The sequence below is a fragment of the Homo sapiens genome, chromosome 17, assembly GCF_000001405.40.
Source record: "Homo sapiens chromosome 17, GRCh38.p14 Primary Assembly".
In the NCBI taxonomy this organism is placed as follows: Eukaryota; Metazoa; Chordata; class Mammalia; order Primates; family Hominidae; genus Homo; species Homo sapiens.
Window position 1 is genome coordinate 31,314,233 of NC_000017.11, and position 24,745 is coordinate 31,338,977.

Here is a 24,745-nt window from a genome sequence, read left to right on the forward strand (position 1 = left end):
TGAGTGCTTTTAATTATGTAAATAAATATTTGAGATACTCTAGTAATATGATTATGTAAATTAAATATTTAGGATGGAGTCCCGAAGAGAAAATTACATGTTCTAAGAAGAAAAGCTGCCAGTTGGGTTATCACTTACAGTGAGATTTCTTCTCATAAGAAGTGAGTGATGTGTTCTGTTTACTTGTATGACCTTAGGCAAGACTCTGCACTTCTGAGTCACCGTTTCCTCCTCTAAAGGAATATTTTATTGGGTTATTGTGAGGATTAAATAAGATAGCATAATATAACATGTATAAATGCCTCACCAACTGCAGGTAACCAATAAATGTAATGTTATTTCCTCATAATATAAAAAGTCCAGGGTAAAAGTATAATTACATTATTTTGCAAATGACAGGATCTCATTCTTTTTTATGGCTGAATAATACTCCATTGTGTATATGTACCATATTTTCTTTATCCATTCATCTGTTTATAGACACTTAGGTTGCTTCCAAATCTTGGCTGTTGTGAATAGTGTTACAACAAAAGTGGGAGTGCAGATGTCTCTTTGTACAGTTTTCCTTTCTGTTGGGTATATACCTAGCAGTGGGATTGCTGGATCATATGATAGCTCTATTTTTAGTTTTTTGAGGAACCACCAAACTGTTCTCCATAGTGGTTTTACTGATTTACATTCCCACTAACAGCGTACGAGAGTTCCATTTTCTCCACACCCTTCCCAGCACTTGTTATTGCCTGTCTTTTGAGTATAAGCCATTTTAACTGGGGTGAGATGAGGTATCATTGTAGTTTTGATTTGCATTTCTCTCATCAGTGGTGCTGAGTACCCTTTCGTATGCCTGTTTGCCATTTGTATATTTGTAATTAAATTATTTTGACCAAATATTTTACTAGTGACTTTTGAGTTCAAGTTCTCAACTATTTATTTGATTACCCACAAAGTAGTTACTTCTCAGTGGAAAATAAAATAAATTGGGGATCATTTTTTAAATAAGAAGTTAACTAAAGTTAACTTGTTACTAAAGGGTAATGAGGGGTTGGGGAGATGGTGTTACCAGTTAATAGGTACAAAAAACAATAGAAAGAATGAATAAGACCTATTTGATAGCACAACAGAGTGACTGTCATTAATACCATAATTATACATTTTAAAATAACTAAAAGTGTAATTGGATCCTTTGTAACACAAAGGATAAGTGCTTGAAGGGATGGATACCCCATTCTCCATGATGTGATTATTTCACGTTGCGTGACTGTATCAAAACATCTCATTACCCTTTAAATATATACACCTACTATGTACCCACAAAAATTTAAAATACAAAAAATTTTTAAGTTAACTAAACAAAGTGTATTGAAAGGAGTGAGTCCATCTGAATAAAAATTTCTTTGAGTAAGTCACCTTTCCTCTCTTGAAAAATGGAGATCATAATTCCTAATTTATAAGCTTATTGTGGAATTAAATAAATGTAAAGTGCCTTGGATGATGCATATTATAGTAGGTACGGAATGTGTTAACCCATGCACTGCTTTTTCCTGGTCACTGCGGGAAACACAGGTTATTATGACCTTGTTCTTAACTTCAGGGTACTTATAGCTTGGTGCAAAAAGAATAGTTTTTTTTTATGGGCTCCTACTATAAAGCATAATATAATCAAATGCTATAAAGCTTTTGATTCACTGGTTTTTGGAAGTATTGTTGTTTTTACGGACAGGGTATTGCTGTGTTGCGCAGGCTGGTCTTGAACTCCTGACCTCAAGCAATCCTCCTGCCTCAGCCTCTCGAGTAGCTAGGACTACAGGCACATGCTACTATGCTCGCTGGCTGGCTTATTTATTTATTGTAAAGATGAGGCTCTTACTTTGTTGTGCAGGCTGGCCTCAAACTCCTGGCCTCAGGTGATCCTCCCAGGATTATAGGTGTAAGCCACTGTGCCTAACCTGATTCACTATTTTTAAATCCCTGAATTAAGCTGGTGAACTGTAATACCCAGGGGTAGGGAATGTGTTTTTGTTCAAAACTAAATGACTTTTAAATTTTGAACTCAAAGATATCTTACCTACCATTTTAAAATACCTGTCATTTGGAAAGGAAACACTTCTGTTTGTTCAGTAACTATCATTGGATAGTACCATTCTGAGAGTATATGTTTAATAGCCAAGATAGTGAGTGGTGAATTTTAAATATTCTTTTAAATATCCTTGTGGTAGAAGCTCTCTGGTGAGAAAATGTTTGACCAGTATGTTGAATATGAAAGTAATTTCCTATTTTTATGATGATATTAATTTCTTTTAATTTTCTCTGACACGTGTTTATTTATGACCCTTGATTCAAGGAGTGCTTTGTGTTACTCCTGGATGTACTGGTGCACAATCTCAAATTTTCAATTTTTGCACAGAATGGGAAGTCTGCCCAGTTTCATTTCTAATCTGGGTTATTTTTCCCCTCAAAAGATAACCTGATTTCAGTCACCATGACTGGCATGAATATTCTCATGCTTTCCTTTTTACTTTGTTAACACTTAACTTTATCTGGAATAATATTGTTATGATTTCTCGTTTAGAGAATAGATTTGTTTTTTACAAATTGCTAATAAATTGATAATAAAAATGATGCTTTATTTTTTTCCTCTCATTTTAATAATAGCTAGACGTTTGAATTTGATGACCAAGAGCAGTTATCACCTTGAGAGTTACGTAAAAATTACCAATGCTTAGAGTTCACCCCATTCCAGTTGCATCAGAAGGAAGACATGGGAATTAGGCATTGGTGTTTTTTAAAAACTCTTCAGGTGATTCTGACATGCAGCCAGGGTAAGAATCACTAGCTTAGAAGGGAGAGTAAGATTGTAGTCATACTTGGGAAAAAACATATAAAAAATATTTTTAAAATGGTTACTATATTGCCCGAAATAAATGCCCAGTAAGGGATGAGATTTTTGAAATGTGGCCTGATCTTAGCCCTGTGTTAATTTCAGTAGATATTTGGAAAGTCTCTCAAACCAATTTTTGTAATATATTTAATTGAAGATGGGGGGGTTCTCAACTTAAATGTAAGTCATTATTTTACTTGAAGCCAGTTTCTTTAAAGGTTAAATTATAACCTGAAGTATGCAGTTTTCCAGATTTGAACACACACACACACACACACACACACACACACACACCCCTAATAAATCATTAGGCTACTTGGCATCCTTGAAGTCCAAAAATTAATCAACCTTTGGTACTTGTTGTTAATGTTCCAGTAAGTAGTATTTATAGAAAAGATGAATATTATTAATCATAAACAGTGAAACATACTTTGCGTTTACACTTAGCCTATTGGTGTGGCTATAAATCTTATTTATTTTAGTTGTGCTCTATTTCTTATTGATCTTTACAATGTGTTCTCTAAAGTAATAAAGTGAATGCAAATATACGTGGTCACAGGTTTATTCTGAGTTTTAATTTATTATACAAAAGTAAAGGTTTTAATTTAATATTAATAGTAGAAAAACACTTTCTTACGTGTGCCATATGGAAAGATAAAGGATCTATTCTAAAATTAGCTGTGTTGGTTGATAAGCTGGTGTGGATTCTGCCACATCCAGCAAGGAAGATACCATTAAATTACACAGTTTAGCTCTCTCTATCTATGCATTAGGAATTTGACTTCCATTTGATGTTAAAGCATATACTTGGCTTTAAGGACACACTAAAACTATTCAAAGTTTAATTACATTCAGACAAAGATCATCTAACCACTGTTGCTACATAGGGAATATTTATTTAATTATCCCTTGCTATCTCTATTAATCAGTTTCCTCAATTTATCCTTAAAATTTTCCTCAAATGCTTAGTTATTTTATTATTTGCTTTTTAAAATATTCAGTGTCAAAACAAAAGTACACAGTTTAAATAATTAAGCAGGCATACTTCTCCCTGTCTCACCTGCTTGATTCTAAATTGCAAGGTCTACCATGTCAAATTTTAGATAATCAGAACAACACTTTGGGATTAAATACCAACTGACTTCATTTTTACTCCATAAGCCTTCTCATTGCTACTTTGCATTTTTCTTCACTAACCTATCTGTTTGTTAGTAAGTTTTTCAGTTCCTTCTTCATCTTTTCTTTCCCTTGTAGCTGTGAGCACTCCAGTAGATTGCATCACTAGGTTGGGTCCTGTGAGCTGTTTTGTTCTTTTCCAAGTGTCTGATTCAGCGGGCCATAGACCGCTTGCCAGAAAATCGCCATTGCTTCTAGGCTGACGCTTGCCTACTTGTTTTGATCGTCTGAGAGAAGAGACTTTGTTTGCCAAAACCACAGTTGATAGAAATAGAAAGGTACAGATAAGAAAAAGCACTGCAATTATAATTAAGCAAATTAGCATAGCCATGTTGTTGTTGTTTTCCGCACAGACATCCTTTTTGAAAATTTCACCATGACTTTTGCTTGTGTTTTCAATGCTCTGTACTGTTGAAGGACTGTTGCTGACGACAGAAGGTATATAAAGCTCCTGTTCAGATTTAGAAGTTAAAGCTACGATGTGAGATGTTTCAGGCATGTTTGTAGAATTACCTTTATAATCTACTTCAGGAGTTATAGGGTTTGTGTTAATGTTTTCATTTTGGTTTCTGCCTGTCTTGTTTTGAATAACTGAATCCCAGGAAGAAGTACTGTTAGCCCACAGACGGGTATAGTTTGCTTTTGTTCCAGGAGACAAAGAAAAAACTGTTGTCATCAGAAAGGCAAGATGTAGGTAATGTCCTGTGTGTTCCATGTCCGTGGGCATGCTTGGCAATCTGTTGGGATAGCAATATAATTTGTTAGTTTGTGAAAGAATAATGGATCCTAGTTTTGGTAATTGTAGTTAAAAGATAGTGTTGAGATGTTACAAGTAAACTACAAGCTTATGCCTAATATTCGCTACCCTGAATTCCTTCTCAACTAAATTTCTTTTCTATTCAGCTATGTATGAAGAAGCATTTTAATTTCTATTAACACTTTTAGATGCTAGAAGTTAGCATTACAAATAAATATTAATCATTTTAAGTGGACTATCATGGCTTTATATAGTTTTCTTCCTTTGAAGCGTGCTAGACTTCTGCTTTGAGTCAGTTAGTTCTGCTTTTACTTTTCTGATTCCTTCTTTAAAAAAAAAAAAAAATTAAGGATCATTCTTACAGAAACTACCCACCCTCTAACCTGTCACCAATCTTTACAGAAGAAATGTGGCCTTGAGCTTCTTGCTTCATGTATGAAATAAATGCAAATTTTTTTGGTGGAAAGAGGGGAAGTTTGGTAGCAACCAAAAGAAACTGAACTTCAAATAGAAATTCAAGGTGTTCTTTTTTTTTCTTGGGTGTTCATCTTGAAGCTTAGAATAAAGCTGGTACTTAGAAATACATTTGTAAGTGTATTTGTGAACGCAATTTTACTGTGGTGGTTGTCTCTTTTCATTTATATTTCCCTGGACTGACTGTGTCTTTCTGAAGGCAAAGGCATACCAGTTTTCTCAACCTAAAAATCTGAAGAAAAAAAAAAAAAAACAGCAAATTTCCTCTGAGTAGACTTAAAAGTTCAACAAAAGTTGCTGGGTTTTCTTTTAAAGCATCATTTATACCTAGCATTTTTTCTGATTTTGACATAATTGTAAAAAAAAATGTGTAATAAAATAGAAATAGAGCATCAGGATCTTGATGATTTGGGATGAAGTGGCAGGTTATAAGCATCTCAACAGATAATTGAAAATGTTGAATTTCCGCTTTGGCCCTGAGCTTGCTGGAAACTAGTACAAAAAGGAGACAAGTTATATTATACATTTTTTAAATCTACCAAATGATTGATTTAAATAGAAATGGCATATCTTAGAATTTAACAGTTCCATGTACTGCTAACCCAGCAGGAAAGATTTATAATCATTATTAAGGTATCTTATAATAATATACCAGTTTGTCTTGAGCTACTTTTGAAAGGAGTATTTTATTGTTAGCATTTATTTGAATGAACTAAAAGCAAAACTATATTGTTCTCCTGAGATTTACTAAATGAAATTGCCTGGTTAAGAACCCTACGTATGCTATAGAAATTCTTCTCAAATGTACTTAGGAGTCCTTTTATTTAAAAAAAAAAAAAAAAGGCAGATTCTTACCTAGCTAGTATAGGTAGGGCCTGAAAGTCTTTGTTTCCAAACCAACTCCTAAGCAACATGGATGCCACTGCTAGTCAGGCTTTTGAACATCAAGGTTTTATAAGAAATGGTTGTTATATGTCATTGGCTGACATTTGTATACTATTAAAATACAGAAATTGAAAATAAGAAATGTGATACGTTGAGTTATGCAAACAAAAGTAGCATGTAATAAACAATGCTAACTGGAGACTATATTTCATATTAATAGTAGGGAGGAAAAACTATTAAATATTCCAGGATTAAGATTACTTTTTAGATTATGACCTTTAGTAGACAATTAAAGGCCCAAGTCACTGGCTTTTGTATAATAGTGTTCAGCTTTAATTTTTAAGTTTAGTGACATAAATCTTTGGATATTTCATGATTCTTCCACAAAAAGAAATACTTGAAATTGGATTAGCAAGTAATTTCCATCTTTTTATACTAGACTGGACTTCTGTATTAGATGCTAGAATGATTTAAAGTAGATTATTCTTTTCACATTAGTTCATTAACAGTGTAGTATACATCATAGTATTGGTACACATTTTAACAGTGCTTACCACGGAACAGATAATAGGCCTGCTGTTGATTGTCTTCAGCCAGATGTACTGCAGTGCCCAAATAAACAAACTGTATGACAAAATGAGACTTTCTCTTGCCCTTACAAATGCCTGAGAATTGAGGACTGTTTTTACTCCAGTTTATGCCTTGGAGGCCAGGTTGTGTTATCAGAAGTTTTCTTATATCTGATCATTTTCAGTAGAATTTATTTTCAGTAGAATTTGTAATGTCCAAGCATTAGTAATGAGAAATTTATTTTTTAACTTTTGAAAAATAACAAAACATTTCCAGTTTACTTGAGGAAACCAAACTTAGATCCTTCGTAATCCTAATTTAAAACTCCATGGCGATGGCAAATTTTTTCATTTCTAACTTAAAATTTATGTAACAGGACAGAAAAAAAAAGTATACATTTTCAGTCACAATTCTAGTTTGTTAGTGAGATTCTTACACACTTTGATAGCATTTCCTCGAACACTAATCTGTCAGACGTTAGAAGTGAAAAGGCATAAGAAAAGCCGTATATATATGACCTACCTTACAAAATGCTTGGTCAAAATCTGATTATAACGTGATTTTGATAAACCACTTCTTTTCTTGTCTTCTTTTTAAAGCAGAATAGACTTGGAGAATATGAGCCTTAAAGTAAATCTGCAGTAAAAAAGGATATGTGCAGCTAGTTTTCCACTTTTAAAACCAAACCACAGATGACACATTTCCTTTCCACTGCAACTAAAGCACATGTCACAGGAGGGAAAAAAAAAAAAACAACGAAAAAGCTCCAACTTCTCTAGTTGGCCACTGGCATGACAGGAGGCTTTGTAGAACCAATCCCCGCCTCCAGAGCAGGGAGGGTTTTCCACTTAATGCCTTTTGACAGTATGCTCATTCTATAGGCCTGCTACATGCTTTAGTGTCATTCAAAAGAGGTTTTGAAATGGTATCTTCCATTTCAAATCTTCTCTAAAAGACTTATTTGAAATCTACAGACTGATTTGAAAATGTGAGTTTGGAGTCCATGGGATACTGATCAGATAATGTAACAATTGTGGAACTGCAGCAATTATTTGAGAAAATATCTAGTAAACTTAGATTATATGGGACAGAAAATGCTTTCGTGTGGTGTAGTGTGTGTATACACACACACACACACACACACACACACACACACAACTGTCAAACATCCTGTCATCACCTCAAGTTTAACATGACTGAAACAGACTTTAAGAACTAGGTATGGGCTGAACACGGTGGCTCACACCTGTAATCCCAGCACGTTGGGAGGGTTGACGCAGGCAGATCACTTGAGGCCAGGAGTTCAAGACCAGCCTGGCCAACATAGAGAAAACCTGTCTCTACTAAAAATATAAAAATTAACCAGGCAGGGTAGCATGCACCTGTAGTCCCACCTACTTGGGAGGCTGAGACAGGAGAATAGCTTGAACCCGGGACGTGGAGGCTGCAGAGATCATGAGATCTTGGCTGCATGAGCTAAGATCATGCCACTGCACTCCAGCCAGGAAGACAGAGTAAGACTCTGTCTCAAAAAAAAAAAAAAAAAAAAAAAAAAAAAAAAAAAGAACTGGATATGGCAGCACATATCTGTAATCCCAGCTACTAGGTAGGTTGAGGTAGGAGGATCACTGGTGGAGCCCAGGAGTTCAAATCCAGCCTGGGTAACATAGCAAGACTCCATCTCTTAAAAATTAATTAAATTAATGAAATAAAAAGAACTTTATTTTTTCTTTAAAGGAGGCTGCCTGTGACAGTCTTCTTGTTTCTGTTCATGATAGCAACATTCTAATATCAGAGGCTTAGTATACAACACATCATTTTAATTTAAGTCCTCTCAGTCCTGATCAGACTTTGAATCATGTTGGTCCTTCCTTCATATTGTTGGATCAGTTTCTTTTTCCCTGTTTTTACTGTCAACAGTACTATTTTAGATCCTTATCAGGTCATACCTAGACTCTACAGTGCCTTTTCGGTAGCCCTGAATCCTTCTTATATCTTGTATACATCACTGTCTTTGGTCATACCACCCTTTCTTTAAGGGAAAATAAAACCGGTTGAACAGTTCCCTAATACATACAACAATGATTCAGAAATGTTTGTGTACATAAACATCAGATGAGAAGATTGTTTAAAAATTATAAAAGCAGGACATGGTGGCTCACACCTGTAATCTCAGCACTTTGGGAGGCTGAGGCGGGAGGATTACTTGAGCCACAGAAATTCGAGACCAGCCTGGGCAGCATGGCAAAATCCTGTCTCTACAAAAAATACAAAAAAACAAAAACAAAAAACTAGCCGGGCATGGTGGCGCTTATCTGTAGTCCCAGCTACTCAGGAGGCTGAGGTGGGAGGATCACCTGAGCCTGGGGAGGTCAAGGCTACAGTGAGCTGTGACCGTGCCACTGCAGTCCAGCCTGAGTTAAGGGAAAAAAAAAAAAGATAAAAATTTCCAGGCCCCACTACATAGATCCATATTTAGTAGGTCCAGGTTGGGACCAGGAAACTGCATTTTTATCAAGCACCACAGTTGATTCTGACGCCAGTAGTCCACAGAACATATGCTGAGAAATGGTGAGCCCCTAGTAGAAAACCTAAGCCCTTTGGTTGGGCAGTTATGGTCTCTCCACAATTTGACTATTCTGTATTTTCCCAGCTTTATCTCTCAAAACTTCTCTACCTGAATCCTCCATTCTGGCTAGACTAGCTGTCTCTTCAACACATCTAGTTACCTGTTTCTTTTCCTTTTTGCCTTTCTCCATAAGGCCTGCCCAGTCCTCTTGCTGAGTCTGCATTCCTCCTTACCTGATTCAGCCACTGTATCTTCTATGTAGCTTTCACTGACTGCCCAGTTTGTGTTAATCTCTCTCTCTCTCTCCTTTGTCTTAATAACAGTATTTTCTCTGCATTTCCTTTGATAAGTGATTACTTTCTACCTCATATCTTCTATCTTGAAATATTTGTGTTGTTTTAAAATCATTTGACTTGTCATATTTTTATCTTATTTTCTCCCAACAAGATTAAAAATTCTGAGGTGAAGTTTTTTATTGATACATGATAATTTGTACATATTAATGGAGTATGTGTGATTTTTTTGGTTTTTTTTGTTTTTGTTTTTGTTGGAATCTCGCTCTATCGCCCAGGCTGGAGTGCAGTGGCACAATCTCAGCTCACTGCAAACTCCCCTCCCAGGTTCAAGCAATTCTCCTGCCTCAGCCTCCCAAGTAGCTGGGGCTACAGGCACGTGCCACCACGCCCAGCTAATTTTTGTATTTTTAGTAGAGACAGGGTTTCACCCTGTTGGCCAGGCTAGTCTTGACCTCCTGACCTCAGGTGATCTGCCCGTCTTGGCCTCCCAAAGTGCTGGGATTGCAGGCGTGAGCCACCATGCCCTGCCTGTATGTGTGATATTTTGATACATGCATATAATGTGTAATGATTAAATCAGGGTGATTAGGATATCCATTGCCTCAAAGAAAAGAAATTGTTTCGTCTAGCTGTTTTGAAATATACAATGTTATTATTAACTAGTCACCTTACTATGAATAGTAGAACTTGTTCCTTCTATCTAATTCTAACAATACATATATTATTTATTTTATTATTATTTTTTTAAGACAGTCTCACTGTTGCCCAGGCTGAAGTGCAGTGGTACAATCTCAGCTCGCTGCAGCCTCTGCCTCCCAGGTCCAAGTGATTCTCGTGCCTCAGCCTCCCAAGTAGCTGGGATTACAGACATGTACCACCATGCCTGGCTGATTTTTGTATTTTTAGTAGAGACAGCGTTTTGCCATGTTGGCCAGGCTGGTCTCGAACTCCTGGCCTTATGTAACCCACCTGCCTCAGCCTCCCAGAGTGCTGGGAATACAGGCGTGAGCCACTGTGCCCAGCCCTGATTATATTTTTATATCCATTAACCAACCTCTGAGGTAAAGATTTATTTTAACTTACTTAGTAGTATTATCACCAGAATCATCACATATGGAAAACTTTGGGCCTAAGTTAACATAGATTGTTTTGATTTGAAACTTTGGTACCATTACTTCAGGGCTTTTTCATGGTCCTCACTGTGGCTGCTCCCATTTATTAGTATTCTTTTGGTTTTAAGCAACATATGACCTAATATGGCTTAATCAAAAAATGGTATTTATTGGCTTATGTAACTGAGCAGTCCTGGGATAAATTTGACCCCAGGAGAGGCTTTATCTCATACACAAATGATATGGCCAGGGTTCCAGTTTGTCTATTTCTCAGCTCCTTCTCTTCAGTCTTTTGGGAGGCTCTTCTTTTATATCCCAAAATATGAGCTAGCAACTCCTAGGGCTACGTATTCCCTTGTTTATAAACACCAGGAAAGAAATATCTCAAATCCCAACAATTTAAGCTAAACTACCTGAACTGGGCCTCTTTGGCCCTGGTTGTCCTGGTTTGAATAATGTGTTCATTGCTGAATCAGTCTGTGATCAAGGTGGGATAAATGGATTGGCTAAAACCATCTCACTCCAGAGCTCCAGATGGGTCATTCCTACCAGACTATTCGCCTAAGGAGTTTGGTGGGCCCTGCAGGCAACCAACTAATTCCCACTGTTTTCTTCCTTTCTTGACTCATGGGCAAATTTTTTATTGTTGTCGTGGCTCAAAATTTTTGAATTGGAGATTTGTCTCTTCTCTTAGCCTTATTTCTCAGTGTCCAAAAAACAACTGATTTAAAAAATGAATCCAGACTTTGAAGAATTGTTTTATATTATTCTCTCTAGAAAATGAATCATAAAATAAAATTGATTAGTGGCATCTGTATATTTATTTTAAACACTGCTAATAATCTTTGTCTTTTTTGTCATTTTCCTTAGGTTCAAAACTGGTCAAATCAATGGTGATTTGCTGATATACCATGTCTTACTGACTTTAAAGCCATATTATGCAAAGCCATATGAAATTGTAGTGGACCTTACCCATACCGGGCCTAGCAATCGCTTTAAAACAGACTTTCTCTCTAAGTGGTTTGTTGTTTTTCCTGGCTTTGCTTACGACAACGTCTCCGCAGTCTATATCTATAACTGTAACTCCTGGGTCAGGGAGTACACCAAGTATCATGAGCGGCTGCTGACTGGCCTCAAAGGTAGCAAAAGGCTTGTTTTCATAGACTGTCCTGGGAAACTGGCTGAGCACATAGAGCATGAACAACAGAAACTACCTGCTGCCACCTTGGCTTTAGAAGAGGACCTGAAGGTATTCCACAATGCTCTCAAGCTAGCTCACAAAGACACCAAAGTTTCTATTAAAGTAAGTTCCAGTCTGTGTTTTGTAAACGATTCATTGCTTTTCTTGACTAACTAGACTATATCCTGGCCTCCCTAGGTGTCCTACCCCTATAGTGGTGTATAAAATGTCACGTAAGGCTGTCGCGGTGGCTCACGCCTGTAATCCAAGCACTTTGGGATGTCAAGGTGGGCAGATCACGTGAGGTCAGGAGTTCAAGACCAGCCTGGCCAACACGGTGAAACCCCGTCTCTACTAAAAATACAAACATTAGCCGGGTATGGTGGTGGGCACCTGTAATCTCAGCTACTTGGAGGCTGAGGCAGGAGAATCGCTTGAACCCGGGAGGTGGAGGTTGCAGTGAGCCGAGATTGCGCCACTGCACTCCAGCCTGGGCAACAGAGGGACGCTCTGTCTCAAAAAATAAAAGGTTATGTAAATCTAGATGTAGGAAGACCAACATTTGTGTCATCATGGAGGTCCTGTGGAGGATATGAGACGTATACATTTTATTCTAGCTTAGGCTGGAAGTAGAAGAGTGTTTTGGAGAGGGCAATTTGTTATGTCATTCAAATTGTAGGAATGTGTGGAGAGTAGAAATTACCTAATGAGAGTTCTGATTATTACATGCTTTTTTCAGAGTGAGGAACATGAACCTTCAGGATAAAATCAGTACTTTTCTATAAGATTGTTTGTTTTGTTTTGTTTTGTTTTTTGATATGGAGTCTCACTCTGTTGCCTAGGCTGGAGTGCAGTGGCGTGATCTCAGAGTGCAGTGGCGTGATCTCAGAGTGCAGTGGCATGATCTTGGCTCACTGCAACCTCTGCCTCCCAGGTTCAAGCGATTCTGCTGCCTCAGCCTCCCCAGTAGCTGGGATTATAGGCGCCCACCGCCACGGCAGGCTAGTTTTTGTAGGTTTAGTAGAGACAAGGTTGTTGGCCAGGCTGATCACGAACTCCTGACCTCAAGTGATCTGCCCACCTCGGCCTCCCAAAGTGCTGGGATTACAGGGATGAGCCACTGCACCCGGCCTTCTATAAGATTCTTGACCTTTTTAAAAAGGAAAATTAAAAAATTTTTAAATGTTTTTTGTTTCTTTTGAGAACATTTATCATAATAATTACTGAACCATTTGAATATACAATGGTGGGAACTCTTCCTTAAATGGCATAGTGTTTTGTTTGGTTGGTTGGTTTCTGGAGCCTTTTAGAATTTTATGTAAAAGAGTTTAATTCTTCTCCACTTCACCCCGTCACCACCACTTTCCAGGTTGGTTCTACTGCTGTCCAAGTAACTTCAGCAGAGCGAACAAAAGTCCTAGGGCAATCAGTCTTTCTAAATGACATTTATTATGCTTCGGAAATTGAAGAAATCTGCCTAGTAGATGAGAACCAGTTCACCTTAACCATTGCAAACCAGGGCACGCCGCTCACCTTCATGCACCAGGAGTGTGAAGCCATTGTCCAGTCTATCATTCATATCCGGACCCGCTGGGAACTGTCACAGCCCGACTCTATCCCCCAACACACCAAGATTCGGCCAAAAGATGTCCCTGGGACACTGCTCAATATCGCATTACTTAATTTAGGCAGTTCTGACCCGAGTTTACGGTAGGTTTTTTAAAATTCTCTTCAGTTTGATTTGGGGTTTGTTGCTTTTAAAATGAGACCATTTAATGAATTTTAAAACAGCCTCTACCTTAATATTGTAAATTGGAAGGTATGCAGTGTTGGTTAACCACTGTGACCTCATCAAGTTGTGGGGTATTCACATGAACTGTGGAATTCCAAACAGGGTGATTCACACTAAACCAATATATGTCCTTTCTCCATCATGTAAAACAACACGACATAGCAGATTTTTTTTTCCAAAGTATCCTAAATTAAGTTTTTCTTCCTCTAAGTCCTCTAATTTTTTTCCATTTTCAGAAGTATATCACTATTTAGTTTAAAAGTCAAGTCAGATTATTGCTTTACAAAAGAAGGCCTAATGTTCAATAACTTGGTAACATTATTGCATACTTTCCACCTACATCACTCTTAACAAAATTCTCAAAATAAATCTTAAGACAAATAAGTCATCTGAGCAGAGTGTAATTGGTTCCATTTAGGCTTAATAACTTGAATATGCATGTGGAAAGAGCATGGCTGTGGAGTGAGTAGATGTGGTTTGAACAGATATGCCACTTTCTAGCTATGTACTTTGAGCAAGATACTGAAGTTTTCAGATATCTAGTTTCCTTATTTGTGAAATAAAGGTAATTGCCTTTCTTATATACCCACAAAAGCTTAAAAAATAGTATGTGTAGTAGTATAGTATAGCAAACTAGCAAATAGTTTATACTTAGTAAGTAGTATTTTCTTATCTTTTCCCTCCCTGCCAGCATCTCCTTGCACCCTTTCTCCCTTTTCTCCCCTCTCCTTACCAAGTTAGGATAATTCTTTGTCTCAAGTACCCTGAGACTTTGAAGATTTTTCAGATGTAAATTCTTAACTTCTGAAAATTTTCCCTGAGGATAACATAGCCCAGGTTTTATAGTGGGCCTTTTAGGATTCCAAATTCTCCTTTACTTAAAGGGAAAAAGAAGAAAATCAAGATATGTTTACTTGGATGGGCTTCAGAAATTGTACATAAGATTTTGTGTATGCTTTGCTTCCTTTATCTCATAGGTGTCTGTGACACCTGTCCTGGGTTGAGGAAGTCCAATTCTTTATAAGTGTTGAAATACACAGGATAAAAGTTTTGTCAAAATTGTATAACTTAGAATTCCTGGGAATTAGTAAAAGATACAAGCTGAGCACTGGCACTGTAGTCCCAGCTACTCGGGAGGCTGAGGCGGGAGGACAGCTTGAGCTCAGGAGTTCAAGGCTGCAGTGTGCTATAATCATGTCTGTGAATAGCCAATGCACACCAGCCTGGGGAACATAGTGAGACTCTGACTAAAAGTTTTTTAAAAAAGAAAAAAGATATGTAAACAGAAATAATAACACTAATTTTCACATTTTAGGAAAATGGAGCTATAAGCCTGCCTTTAATTTCTAATTCAAAGATCTTCATTGAAAAATACAACCTTTTAACAATTATTAGCCTGGGTAAACCTGTATTCTTCTCTAGTGACCTAAAGCAATCTCTGACAGCTTCTGCTTTTTGCTGAAGCATGTCATCCCAGAGAAAAAGCCTTTAGGCAGACTTAAATTCCAGTGGCTTTTTTTCCCTATATGGTTGTTGCATCAATATAGTAGCATGATAAACATTCAGAGGTAAGGAAAACCTGACAGTTACTGAACAAACTATTTCCTTTACTGGACAGGGGAGAAAATTAAAATTTTTAAATTGAGTCTGAGTCTTTTAGGCTGTCTCCTAAATTGCTTAAATATATTTTCAGACATTTGTAAGTGATGTTTGGTCTCAATGAAACCTGGATATTATAGTTTTTTTCCATATTGGTGGTTATATATGATGTAATGAGGTCATAGAGGGAAAAATGGGAGGACTTAATTATAAGTTAATTTTGTTTTTAACCTTCAGTTTGTAGGGTAACTTTTAGGACACCCAGAAAGAAGTTCAGCAGATCCTGATTAAAGATTTTCACATTCTAATTTGATGAAGGGAAGGGCCATCTGATATCTGTCCCTATGATCCCCATTATAACTGGATCTAGTGGGAAAGAGAACCAGAATTTGAGTTTTGGCTTTGCTAAAAATGTATGGTGTGCCTTATTCTGACTTAATTTCTATTGATCCACATTAGGACCATAAGTCCTCTCATATTTTATGTCTCAGTGAGATGTATTTTAGGAAAGCCTATACCCCGCCCCTCTGTCATAGGAGCCTCACAGTGCTCTTATGGTTATATCAAGTGTGTCCCTTTTTATAAAATCCCTAAATGATTAAGGGGTATTTTGGTTTTACTGTAGAATTATAACATCTTATTTCTAACTGATCATAAAATTTAAAAATAGTTGATCATACTTTGTAACAGAATCACAAATTGTATGTTATGAAAAAATTTTGGAACTATAAGGAAAAATACGTTTTAAAACAACTTCATTTGTGTTTTCTCCTAGGTCAGCTGCCTATAATCTTCTGTGTGCCTTAACTTGTACCTTTAATTTAAAAATCGAGGGCCAGTTACTAGAGACATCAGGTTTATGTATCCCTGCCAACAACACCCTCTTTATTGTCTCTATTAGTAAGACACTGGCAGCCAATGAGCCACACCTCACGTTAGAATTTTTGGAAGAGTGTATTTCTGGATTTAGCAAATCTAGTAAGTAATGATAATTTTCTTTAATACTAACAATTATTCTAAGAGAATTCAAAGAAAACCCTTTCATTTCAGAATTTTCCAGTGAAGACTTTCACTTACATTTTTACTTTTTTTCCTCTTCTGATTTTATATCTGTGGTATCCTGTAACTGAAGGAACTCTGAAGGAACTTTTTGGTAGGCCACATTGAGAAATCCACCAAAATTCTGATAATAAAAGCAAAGCGGCAAGAGTTTGGTACTTTACACACCTCTGGACCACTTACAAAGTATTTTCTTCACTGTTGCAGTTTAATTAGCTTCAGCATTTCTCTTCATAGCAGAAAAGTCCACATAAGTATCCATGTTGCCTCCTTAATTTTAGAGAACTAGTCATTTTCTCTTTTCTTTAGGTTGACTTTGAACAATGAATTTATTGTAAATGTACAGTTCACGGAGAGCACAGTGGCACATAATACAGGGCCCAGAGTCAGTTCTGACTTTGTTTTAACTAAGTCTTATAAATTTAATATCCACTCTTTATATTTGTCCATCTTTATATCCTATAGTTTTATAAATGTTGATCTTCTCCCAGCATATTTCCTGACCTTTTCTTCCCTTTCCTTTCCCTGTAATATATAAAACTTTTTTTTCTGCATTCAAACACATTTCTTGACTTTTATATATTAGATAATTAAAAGCTTCAGCAATTCACTAAGACTCTTTGTCAGGTAAGAGATGTAGGACTATAACCCTAACAAAAAAATGTGTAGGACTGACAAAACAAGAAAAGTATAAACTTTATTCATAAATATTAATATGAGAGAAGATTTGAGTGAATGTAAAGGCATATTGTGTTCCTGCATGAACAGTTCTTCCCAGATTATTACAAATTTAATGTAATTTCATCAAAATAACCATGGGATTTGAGGATTGAGAATGGAGATAGAACTTAAATGATTCTAAATTCTACATAAAAGTGCAATAATAGCTAAGAAAATATTGAAAGGAAAGAGACTTGAGACTTAATAGTACAGATGTCTGAACACTTTATAGCAGTACAATAATTAAAACATACATGTGCAAGAATCAGCCATCAGATCAGTTTAAGAGAAACAGATTGATAAAGAAGCATCACAAACTGATGAGGGAGAGATTAAATCATTTAATAAATGAGGCTGGGAAATGACTTAAATTAGGTCTTCGTCTTCACCGTACACCATAAGATACCAAGTATGTTCTGCCTGTATTTAAGAGTTGAGTAGGGCTGTGTGTGGTGGCTCTCGCCTGTAATCCCAGCACTTTGGGAGGTTGAGGCAAGAGGATTGTGGCAGGAGGATTGCTTGAGCCCCAGAGGTCAGGGCTATAGTGAGCTATCATCGTACCACTGCACTCCAGCCTGGATGATAGAGTGAGACCCTTCTCTATTAAAAAAAAAAAAAAAAAAAAAAAAAAAAAAAAAAAGTTGTATATAAAAGCTTGGAACCATTTTAAAAAGAAGAGGAACAAGTGAATATTTAATTGCTTTCTAGATGAGTAAGGACATATGAAGTAAAAAAGTGATAGGATGAAACAAAGGAAATAGCGAACAGATTTGACTACATAAAACTTCAAAACATAGCTACTCAAAAATAAACACAAGTGAAGATAATTAAAAACTAGGAAATACACTTGGAGCAAATATGAGAAATGATTAATATCCTTAATCGGCCAGACGCGGTGGCTCACGCCTGTAATCCCAGCACTTTGGGAGGCTGAGGTGGGTGGATCACAAGGTAAGGAGTTCGAGACCAGCCTGGCCAATATGGTGAAATCCCCTCTCTACTAAAAATACAAAAATTAGCCGGGCTCGGTGGTACATGCCTGTAGTCCCAGCTACTCAGGAGGCTGAGGCAGGAGAATTGCTTGAACCCAGGAGGCAGAGGTTGCAGTGAGCCGAGATCACTCCACTGCACTCCAGCCTGGGCAACAGAGGGAGACTCTGTCTCAAAATAAATAAATGAATGAATAAATGAATGAATGAATGAATAAAATCCTTAATCATGAAGGGTGCTGACCGATTAATAAAAAGTGGATTAACAGTAACATACAGATCATGGTTTTTTTTTTTTTTTTATTATACTCTAAGTTTTAGGGTACATGTGCACATTGTGCAGGTTAGTTACATATGTATACATGTGCCATGCTGGTGCGCTGCACCCACTACTGTGTCATCTAGCATTAGGTATATCTCCCAATGCTATCCCTCCCCCCTCCCCCGACCCCACCACAGTCCCCAGAGTGTGATATTCCCCTTCCTGTGTCCATGTGATCTCATTGTTCAATTCCCACCTATGAGTGAGAATATGCGGTGTTTGGTTTTTTGTTCTTGCGATAGTTTACTGAGAATGATGGTTTCCAATTTCATCCATGTCCCTACAAAGGATATGAACTCATCATTTTTTATGTTTTTTAAAAAAGAATATTTGTACAAAAAAAGAAAAAAGCCAGGCACCATGGCACATGCCTGTAATCCCACCTGCTCAGGAGGATCGCTAAGCCCAGGAGTTTGAGACCAGCCTGGACAACATAGTGAGGCCCCCATCTCAAAAAGAATATTTATATTTTAAGAAATTCACTAATAAAAGCCAATTGAAAGAATAGTGAGATAATCAGTTATCAGCTTGGCAAAGATTTTTTTTTTAAGATCCATTCCTGGTGGTCTGTGGAATTGTGAGTAGAGGCAATTTTTCTAGAAAGGCATTTGGAAGTGGATAACAAGACCTTAAGACTATTCATACCTTTTGGCCTCATAATTCTGCTTTTTAGCATTTATCCTAAAGAATTAATGTTAAAATGTTTATTATAGCATTATTTTTATGTAGATTTTTAAATTGAGGTATATCTTGTCATCAGTAAAGTGCAAGATCTTAAGTCAACAGCTTGATGAACTTCTACATGCAAATACATCATGAAAGTATCTCCAGATCTAGACATAGAACATTTCTAGCATCCAGAGGGATATTCTCAGTACCCTCCCTTCACCAAGAGTAAACACTATTATGACCTCTATTGCACAGATTTATTTTGCCTACTTTAGAACTTCATATGACATTATTTATAATAGCAAAAAAATGAACAGGCCAAAAGTCAAAGAATAAGGAACTGATTAAATTATTGGTTCTCCATCTGATGGAATAATATGAAGCCATTGAAAAATGGCTTTGTTACAGAATTTCAGTTTGGAAGATGAAAAGGTTCTAGAGATGGATGGTGGTGATGGCTGCACAATGATTTGAATGTACTCAGTGCCACTGAACTGTGCCCTTCAAAATGGGTAAAGCCACGGAACTGTACATTTAAAAATAGTTAAAATGGTAAATTTTGTGTTGTGTATATTTTACCACAATTTTAAAAACTCTTTGAGACTTTAGGTAAAGTGTATAGATAAATTTTTGTACAATTTTTGTCTTATAAATGTGAAGCTTTTTCAAGTAAGTTTAAAAGAAGTTTGCAGAATTTGTAATGTTGAATAAATAATCTCAGTATAGGCCAGGGGTGGTGGCTCACGCCTGTAATCCCAGCACTTTGGGAGGCCGAGGCGGGCAGATCACGAGGTCAGGAGATTGAGACCATCCTGGCTAACACAGTGAAACCCCGTCTCTACTCAAAATATGAAAAAAAATTTGCCGGGCGTGGTGGTGGGCGCCTGTAGTCCCAGCTACTCGGGAGGCTGAGGCAGGAGAATGGTGTGAACCTGTGAACCCGGGAGGCGGAACTTGCAGTGAGCCGAGATCGCTCCTCTGCACTCCAGCCTGGGCGACAGAGGAGACTCCATCTCAAAAAAAAAAAAAATGAATAATCTCAGTATAATCACTGAAAAAAATATTCAGAGCCTACTGCATGTATAGCATAATCCCCGTTTTTGCGGGGGAGTGGGAGTGGGTTATACCTGTGTACACACACATAAATGTACATTAACTCTACATAAATTTGAAAGCCTGAGGAGAGATGAGATGATACACCAATGTTAATACAGTTTTCATTTTGTGGTGATGCTTTCCTTTTACCAAACTTTCTATGATTACCACATTTCCTTTTATAATGAGAATAAAACAACTTTTTAACAAGAAAGGACTAAAATGGAGGAAAATAAGACAAAACTTTTCAAAAATTGGCTTACTGGCTTTTAAAATTACTTTCTTCAAGGACTGTTCTTTCTTCGCCTCTACAAAAATATATTTGCCAAGTGTCTTTTCTCCAGGCCTGATTCTAGGTAATAGTCTTTACCTTTTACCATTTTTTCCCCGAATTCTTTATGTTAAATAATTGTTGATGTGATTTTCATTGACCATCACATGCTAATAGTGTATTTTTTTCCAGGTATTGAATTGAAACACCTTTGTTTGGAATACATGACTCCATGGCTGTCAAATCTAGTTCGTTTTTGCAAGCATAATGATGATGCCAAACGACAAAGAGTTACTGCTATTCTTGACAAGCTGATAACAATGACCATCAATGAAAAACAGATGTACCCATCTATTCAAGCAAAAATATGGGGAAGCCTTGGGCAGGTATTGAGTTTGCTCAAATATTTATCTAGTATCTCCTTTGTGCACATATTTATCTGGTGCCACATTGGGCAAAGCACTGCGCTAGACACTAGGGATAGAGTTGTAAAAAACACAGTTTCCTCCTTCAGAAAGCATGTAGACACTCACCCAGCTCTTCATCTGGTTCAAAATTGTAAATGTCTAGTGCATGTCTCAGAGCCAGAGAAAAGCTAGTTATTTGCACAGTCTCCTTCAAGGCATAATTATATATATATATATATATATAATTATGCCTTGAAGGAGACTGTGCAAATAACTAGATTTTATATATATATTATATAGAACTGTAGAAATCTGGTGACATTTCTAGTGCTTTATTCTAGTTCTCTACATTCCAAAGGTGTCAGTAGATGTTTCTTCTTATTGATGCTATTTGGGACATCTGCTTTCATTTATAGTTCTACATAAGAATGCCAATATTAAAATAGGATATAATGTAAATTTTATTTTTATCTGACAAGAATTAGGCATATCATTTCTTCAAAGTAATCATTTAAGGAAATAATGCCCTCACTCAAACACTGCTGCTCCTCCTCCAAATAATTAGAAATAACCTTGGAGCCAGTGTTGCAGCCCTAGAAAACATCCTGGTACTTAATGTCATTTCCTATATTTTATTTTTTTTTGAGACTGAGTCTCGCTCTGTCACCCAGGCTGGAGTGCAGTGGTACAGTCTCGGCTCATTGCAACCTCTGCCTCCCAGGCTCAAGTGACCCTTCCACCTCAGCCTCCCAAGTAGCTGGGCCTACAGGTGCACACCAACACACCTGGCTAATTTTTGTATTTTTTTTTTTTTTTTTTTTTAGAGATAGGGTTTTGCCATGTTGCCCAGGCTGGTCTTGAACTCCTGGCCTCAAGCAATCCGCCCGCCTCAGCCTCCCCAAGTGCTGGGATTACAAGCGTGAGCCACTGCACCCAGCTCTGTATTTTCAAATTACTATTTTATATTGATGCTACATTACTGTCTTAGAAAAGCATAGAGATACTTTGCAAGTGACTGAAGATAGTATTGATAGAGATTTAAAATTTTTGAATACCAATCTCTTAATCTCTGAAGGAGTCAAATGAATATACTCATCCTTTACTGGATATTTTATAATAAATTGTATTTACTGACAGGCCTGTAAATAAAATCTAGTATTTTTGAGGCCTCAGGTAAAATAGAATTTTCATATTGATTAGGCTGTTCCAATGAATATTTTTTAATTAAAAATTAAATTGGTAGAGTGATTAAAAACATGTTATTTTCCTTCTTCAACTAGATTACAGATCTGCTTGATGTTGTACTAGACAGTTTCATCAAAACCAGTGCAACAGGTGGCTTGGGATCAATAAAAGCTGAGGTGATGGCAGATACTGCTGTAGCTTTGGCTTCTGGAAATGTGAAATTGGTTTCAAGCAAGGTAATCACTTTTCTTTTGCCTTCTGTACTATAGCATATCTGTTTTATCATCAGGAGGTTTTTTGTTTTGTAATTACTTTTAAATTAAACTGAACTTTTTTGTGCTAAAACTTTGAGTCCCATGTTTTTTTTTTTAAAAAAAAAAATCCTGCTTCTTTACAGGTTATTGGAAGGATGTGCAAAATAATTGACAAGACATGCTTATCTCCAACTCCTACTTTAGAACAACATCTTATGTGGGATGATATTGCTATTTTAGCACGCTACATGCTGATGCTGTCCTTCAACAATTCCCTTGATGTGGCAGCTCATCTTCCCTACCTCTTCCACGTTGTTACTTTCTTAGTAGCCACAGGTCCGCTCTCCCTTAGAGCTTCCACACATGGACTGGTCATTAATATCATTCACTCTCTGTGTACTTGTTCACAGCTTCATTTTAGTGGTAAGTTCTAGGAAAGGAATTTGTGTTTACCAGTTCCTTTCTCCATTTTACTTCACCTGATCAATATAGATTATCTTATTTATGTTTGTGCTCTAACACCAAGTTGCTAATTTAAGCCTCCAGTAATGACATGAAATATTACCAAAAAGAAAATAAATTACTTCCATTCCATATCAAGCTATAGTAAAGATTTTCTATGCATACTTGTCATGTAGAGTTATCCCATAAGCGGAATACTCAGTGCCAGTTGACCATGTTCAGTTACCAGCACTAATTTGTAGATAAATGAAGCAAGGAGCATTAATACAATGTATCTAGAGGTTTGATTTAGGGAACATGATTATGTAATTTTTATATGGTATTCAAATTTTCTAAATTCAAAATGAAACATGGAACTTTAGAAATTAAAAAGTAATATTTTCTGTCTTTACTTGTTCCTTTATTCTCTTACAGAAGAGACCAAGCAAGTTTTGAGACTCAGTCTGACAGAGTTCTCATTACCCAAATTTTACTTGCTGTTTGGCATTAGCAAAGTCAAGTCAGCTGCTGTCATTGCCTTCCGTTCCAGTTACCGGGACAGGTCATTCTCTCCTGGCTCCTATGAGAGAGAGACTTTTGCTTTGACATCCTTGGAAACAGTCACAGAAGCTTTGTTGGAGATCATGGAGGTATAGAAGCCAAAATGATAAGAAACTAAGTTAAAATCTTTTTTTAAAAATATGTTAATACTATATAGAAGAAATATTGGTTTATTGTGCTATTTTGTACTTAATGCTTAAATAAAAACACTTGCATGGACTGTGTTATTGGTAACAGGTCACTTAATGACATCATAATAAACATTATTTAAACAGTTCTAAAAACATTTATGTACAATATGTATTCAGAGTATCCCCTTTTTTAGGCATGCATGAGAGATATTCCAACGTGCAAGTGGCTGGACCAGTGGACAGAACTAGCTCAAAGGTATGTCCTAAATTAAATATAAGTTGTAAAAATATGCATATTGTTGAAAATACAGCTATTACTGTATGATCAATGTTATAATTTATTATTTAGTATATATAAACACAAAGGTTTTTATAAGTTCTGTGGATCTTTTAATTGCAGATTTGCATTCCAATATAATCCATCCCTGCAACCAAGAGCTCTTGTTGTCTTTGGGTGTATTAGCAAACGAGTGTCTCATGGGCAGATAAAGCAGATAATCCGTATTCTTAGCAAGGTACCTGTTCCGCCCTCACTTCTCCCAAATATTTATGGTTCTCAAGTTGTAAAGCATATCTTTCATTTTTCTAAAAGACGTTTAAATTTGAGGTCAATGAAATATCTTATATGTTACTTATTAAGCCTTTAAAATGTATTTTGATTATTTATTGTAATTCTTTGAAGAAGTCTTCTCTAAAGAAGCTGTCTTTATATGTAAACTCTGATTACTTCATTAAGGAAGATGTCTTTAAAATAAAATATGTTGCCTCTTTTGCTAAGCAGGTACACTTAGTATTTTACCAGTTTTCAAAGCATTTAATTATATGGTAAGACTATAGCCTTGCATAAAATTATTTAATTTGTAATTACTATAATAATGTCTGACTCTTATAATGTAGAAATGTCAAAAAATAAGAAAACAAATGTACATTAAGCTAGCTACCAAGATCACCATAGCATGAGAAATCATTCTAGCATTTATTAAATAAGTAAATGTTCCTGAATTCATTCCGAGATTCAGTTTAGGAGTTAATGTTTTATTTCAATGAAAGTAAAATAAAAAATTCTGTTTTCCTAAAAGGCACTTGAGAGTTGCTTAAAAGGACCTGACACTTACAACAGTCAAGTTCTGATAGAAGCTACAGTAATAGCACTAACCAAATTACAGCCACTTCTTAATAAGGTAATTACTGTATAGAAAATGAGTGCATTCATTTTGGGTATCAGTGTTGAATGTTACTTTCTTTCAAAGAGTTTAGAAAATAAGATGAATTGAGAATAAGTTATAAAGAAAAAACTATAGTTAAAGTAGAACCTCTTAAAGTTTAGTTGTTTGAAGTAGTCATATTAGAAGA

At 36.3% G+C, this 24,745-nt stretch overlaps 2 protein-coding genes across 4 annotated transcripts in view, besides 2 other annotated features; one reads left to right on the forward strand and one right to left on the reverse strand.

Annotated features, from left to right (window-relative positions):
* NF1 (neurofibromin 1) overlaps window positions 1–24,745 on the forward strand; it is a 282,699-nt gene that overhangs the window by 219,256 nt on the left and 38,698 nt on the right. For both annotated transcript variants that reach the window (NM_001042492.3, NM_000267.4), the window contains 10 exons: window positions 11,588–12,020; window positions 13,267–13,607; window positions 16,064–16,266; window positions 20,606–20,799; window positions 22,101–22,241; window positions 22,403–22,682; window positions 23,136–23,350; window positions 23,587–23,648; window positions 23,793–23,907; window positions 24,472–24,573. In NM_001042492.3, the coding sequence (NP_001035957.1) occupies window positions 11,588–12,020; window positions 13,267–13,607; window positions 16,064–16,266; window positions 20,606–20,799; window positions 22,101–22,241; window positions 22,403–22,682; window positions 23,136–23,350; window positions 23,587–23,648; window positions 23,793–23,907; window positions 24,472–24,573 (2,086 nt within the window). The remainder of the gene's footprint in view (window positions 1–11,587; window positions 12,021–13,266; window positions 13,608–16,063; window positions 16,267–20,605; window positions 20,800–22,100; window positions 22,242–22,402; window positions 22,683–23,135; window positions 23,351–23,586; window positions 23,649–23,792; window positions 23,908–24,471; window positions 24,574–24,745) is intronic.
* On the reverse strand, window positions 2,178–7,390 carry EVI2A (ecotropic viral integration site 2A). 2 transcript variants are annotated; one of them, NM_001003927.3, is made up of 3 exons: window positions 7,263–7,390; window positions 6,141–6,281; window positions 2,178–4,791 (listed from the first exon to the last, which is right to left on the reverse strand). In NM_001003927.3, exons 2-3 carry the CDS (start codon window positions 6,197–6,199, stop codon window positions 4,071–4,073), a joined length of 780 nt encoding a protein of 259 aa, NP_001003927.1. In that variant the 5' UTR covers window positions 6,200–6,281; window positions 7,263–7,390; the 3' UTR covers window positions 2,178–4,070. The 2 variants fall into 2 exon arrangements, with proteins under 2 accessions (NP_001003927.1, NP_055025.2); NM_014210.4 differs by lacking the exon at window positions 6,141–6,281.
* Window positions 4,219–4,268: an enhancer, noted in NCBI's record as "active region_12009". NCBI's record gives its function as "activates an Ori minimal core promoter by ATAC-STARR-seq in GM12878 lymphoblastoid cells {active_cell/tissue: GM12878}" and the evidence as "EXISTENCE:reporter gene assay evidence [ECO:0000049][PMID:35858748]".
* Window positions 4,479–4,538: an enhancer, noted in NCBI's record as "active region_12010". NCBI's record gives its function as "activates an Ori minimal core promoter by ATAC-STARR-seq in GM12878 lymphoblastoid cells {active_cell/tissue: GM12878}" and the evidence as "EXISTENCE:reporter gene assay evidence [ECO:0000049][PMID:35858748]".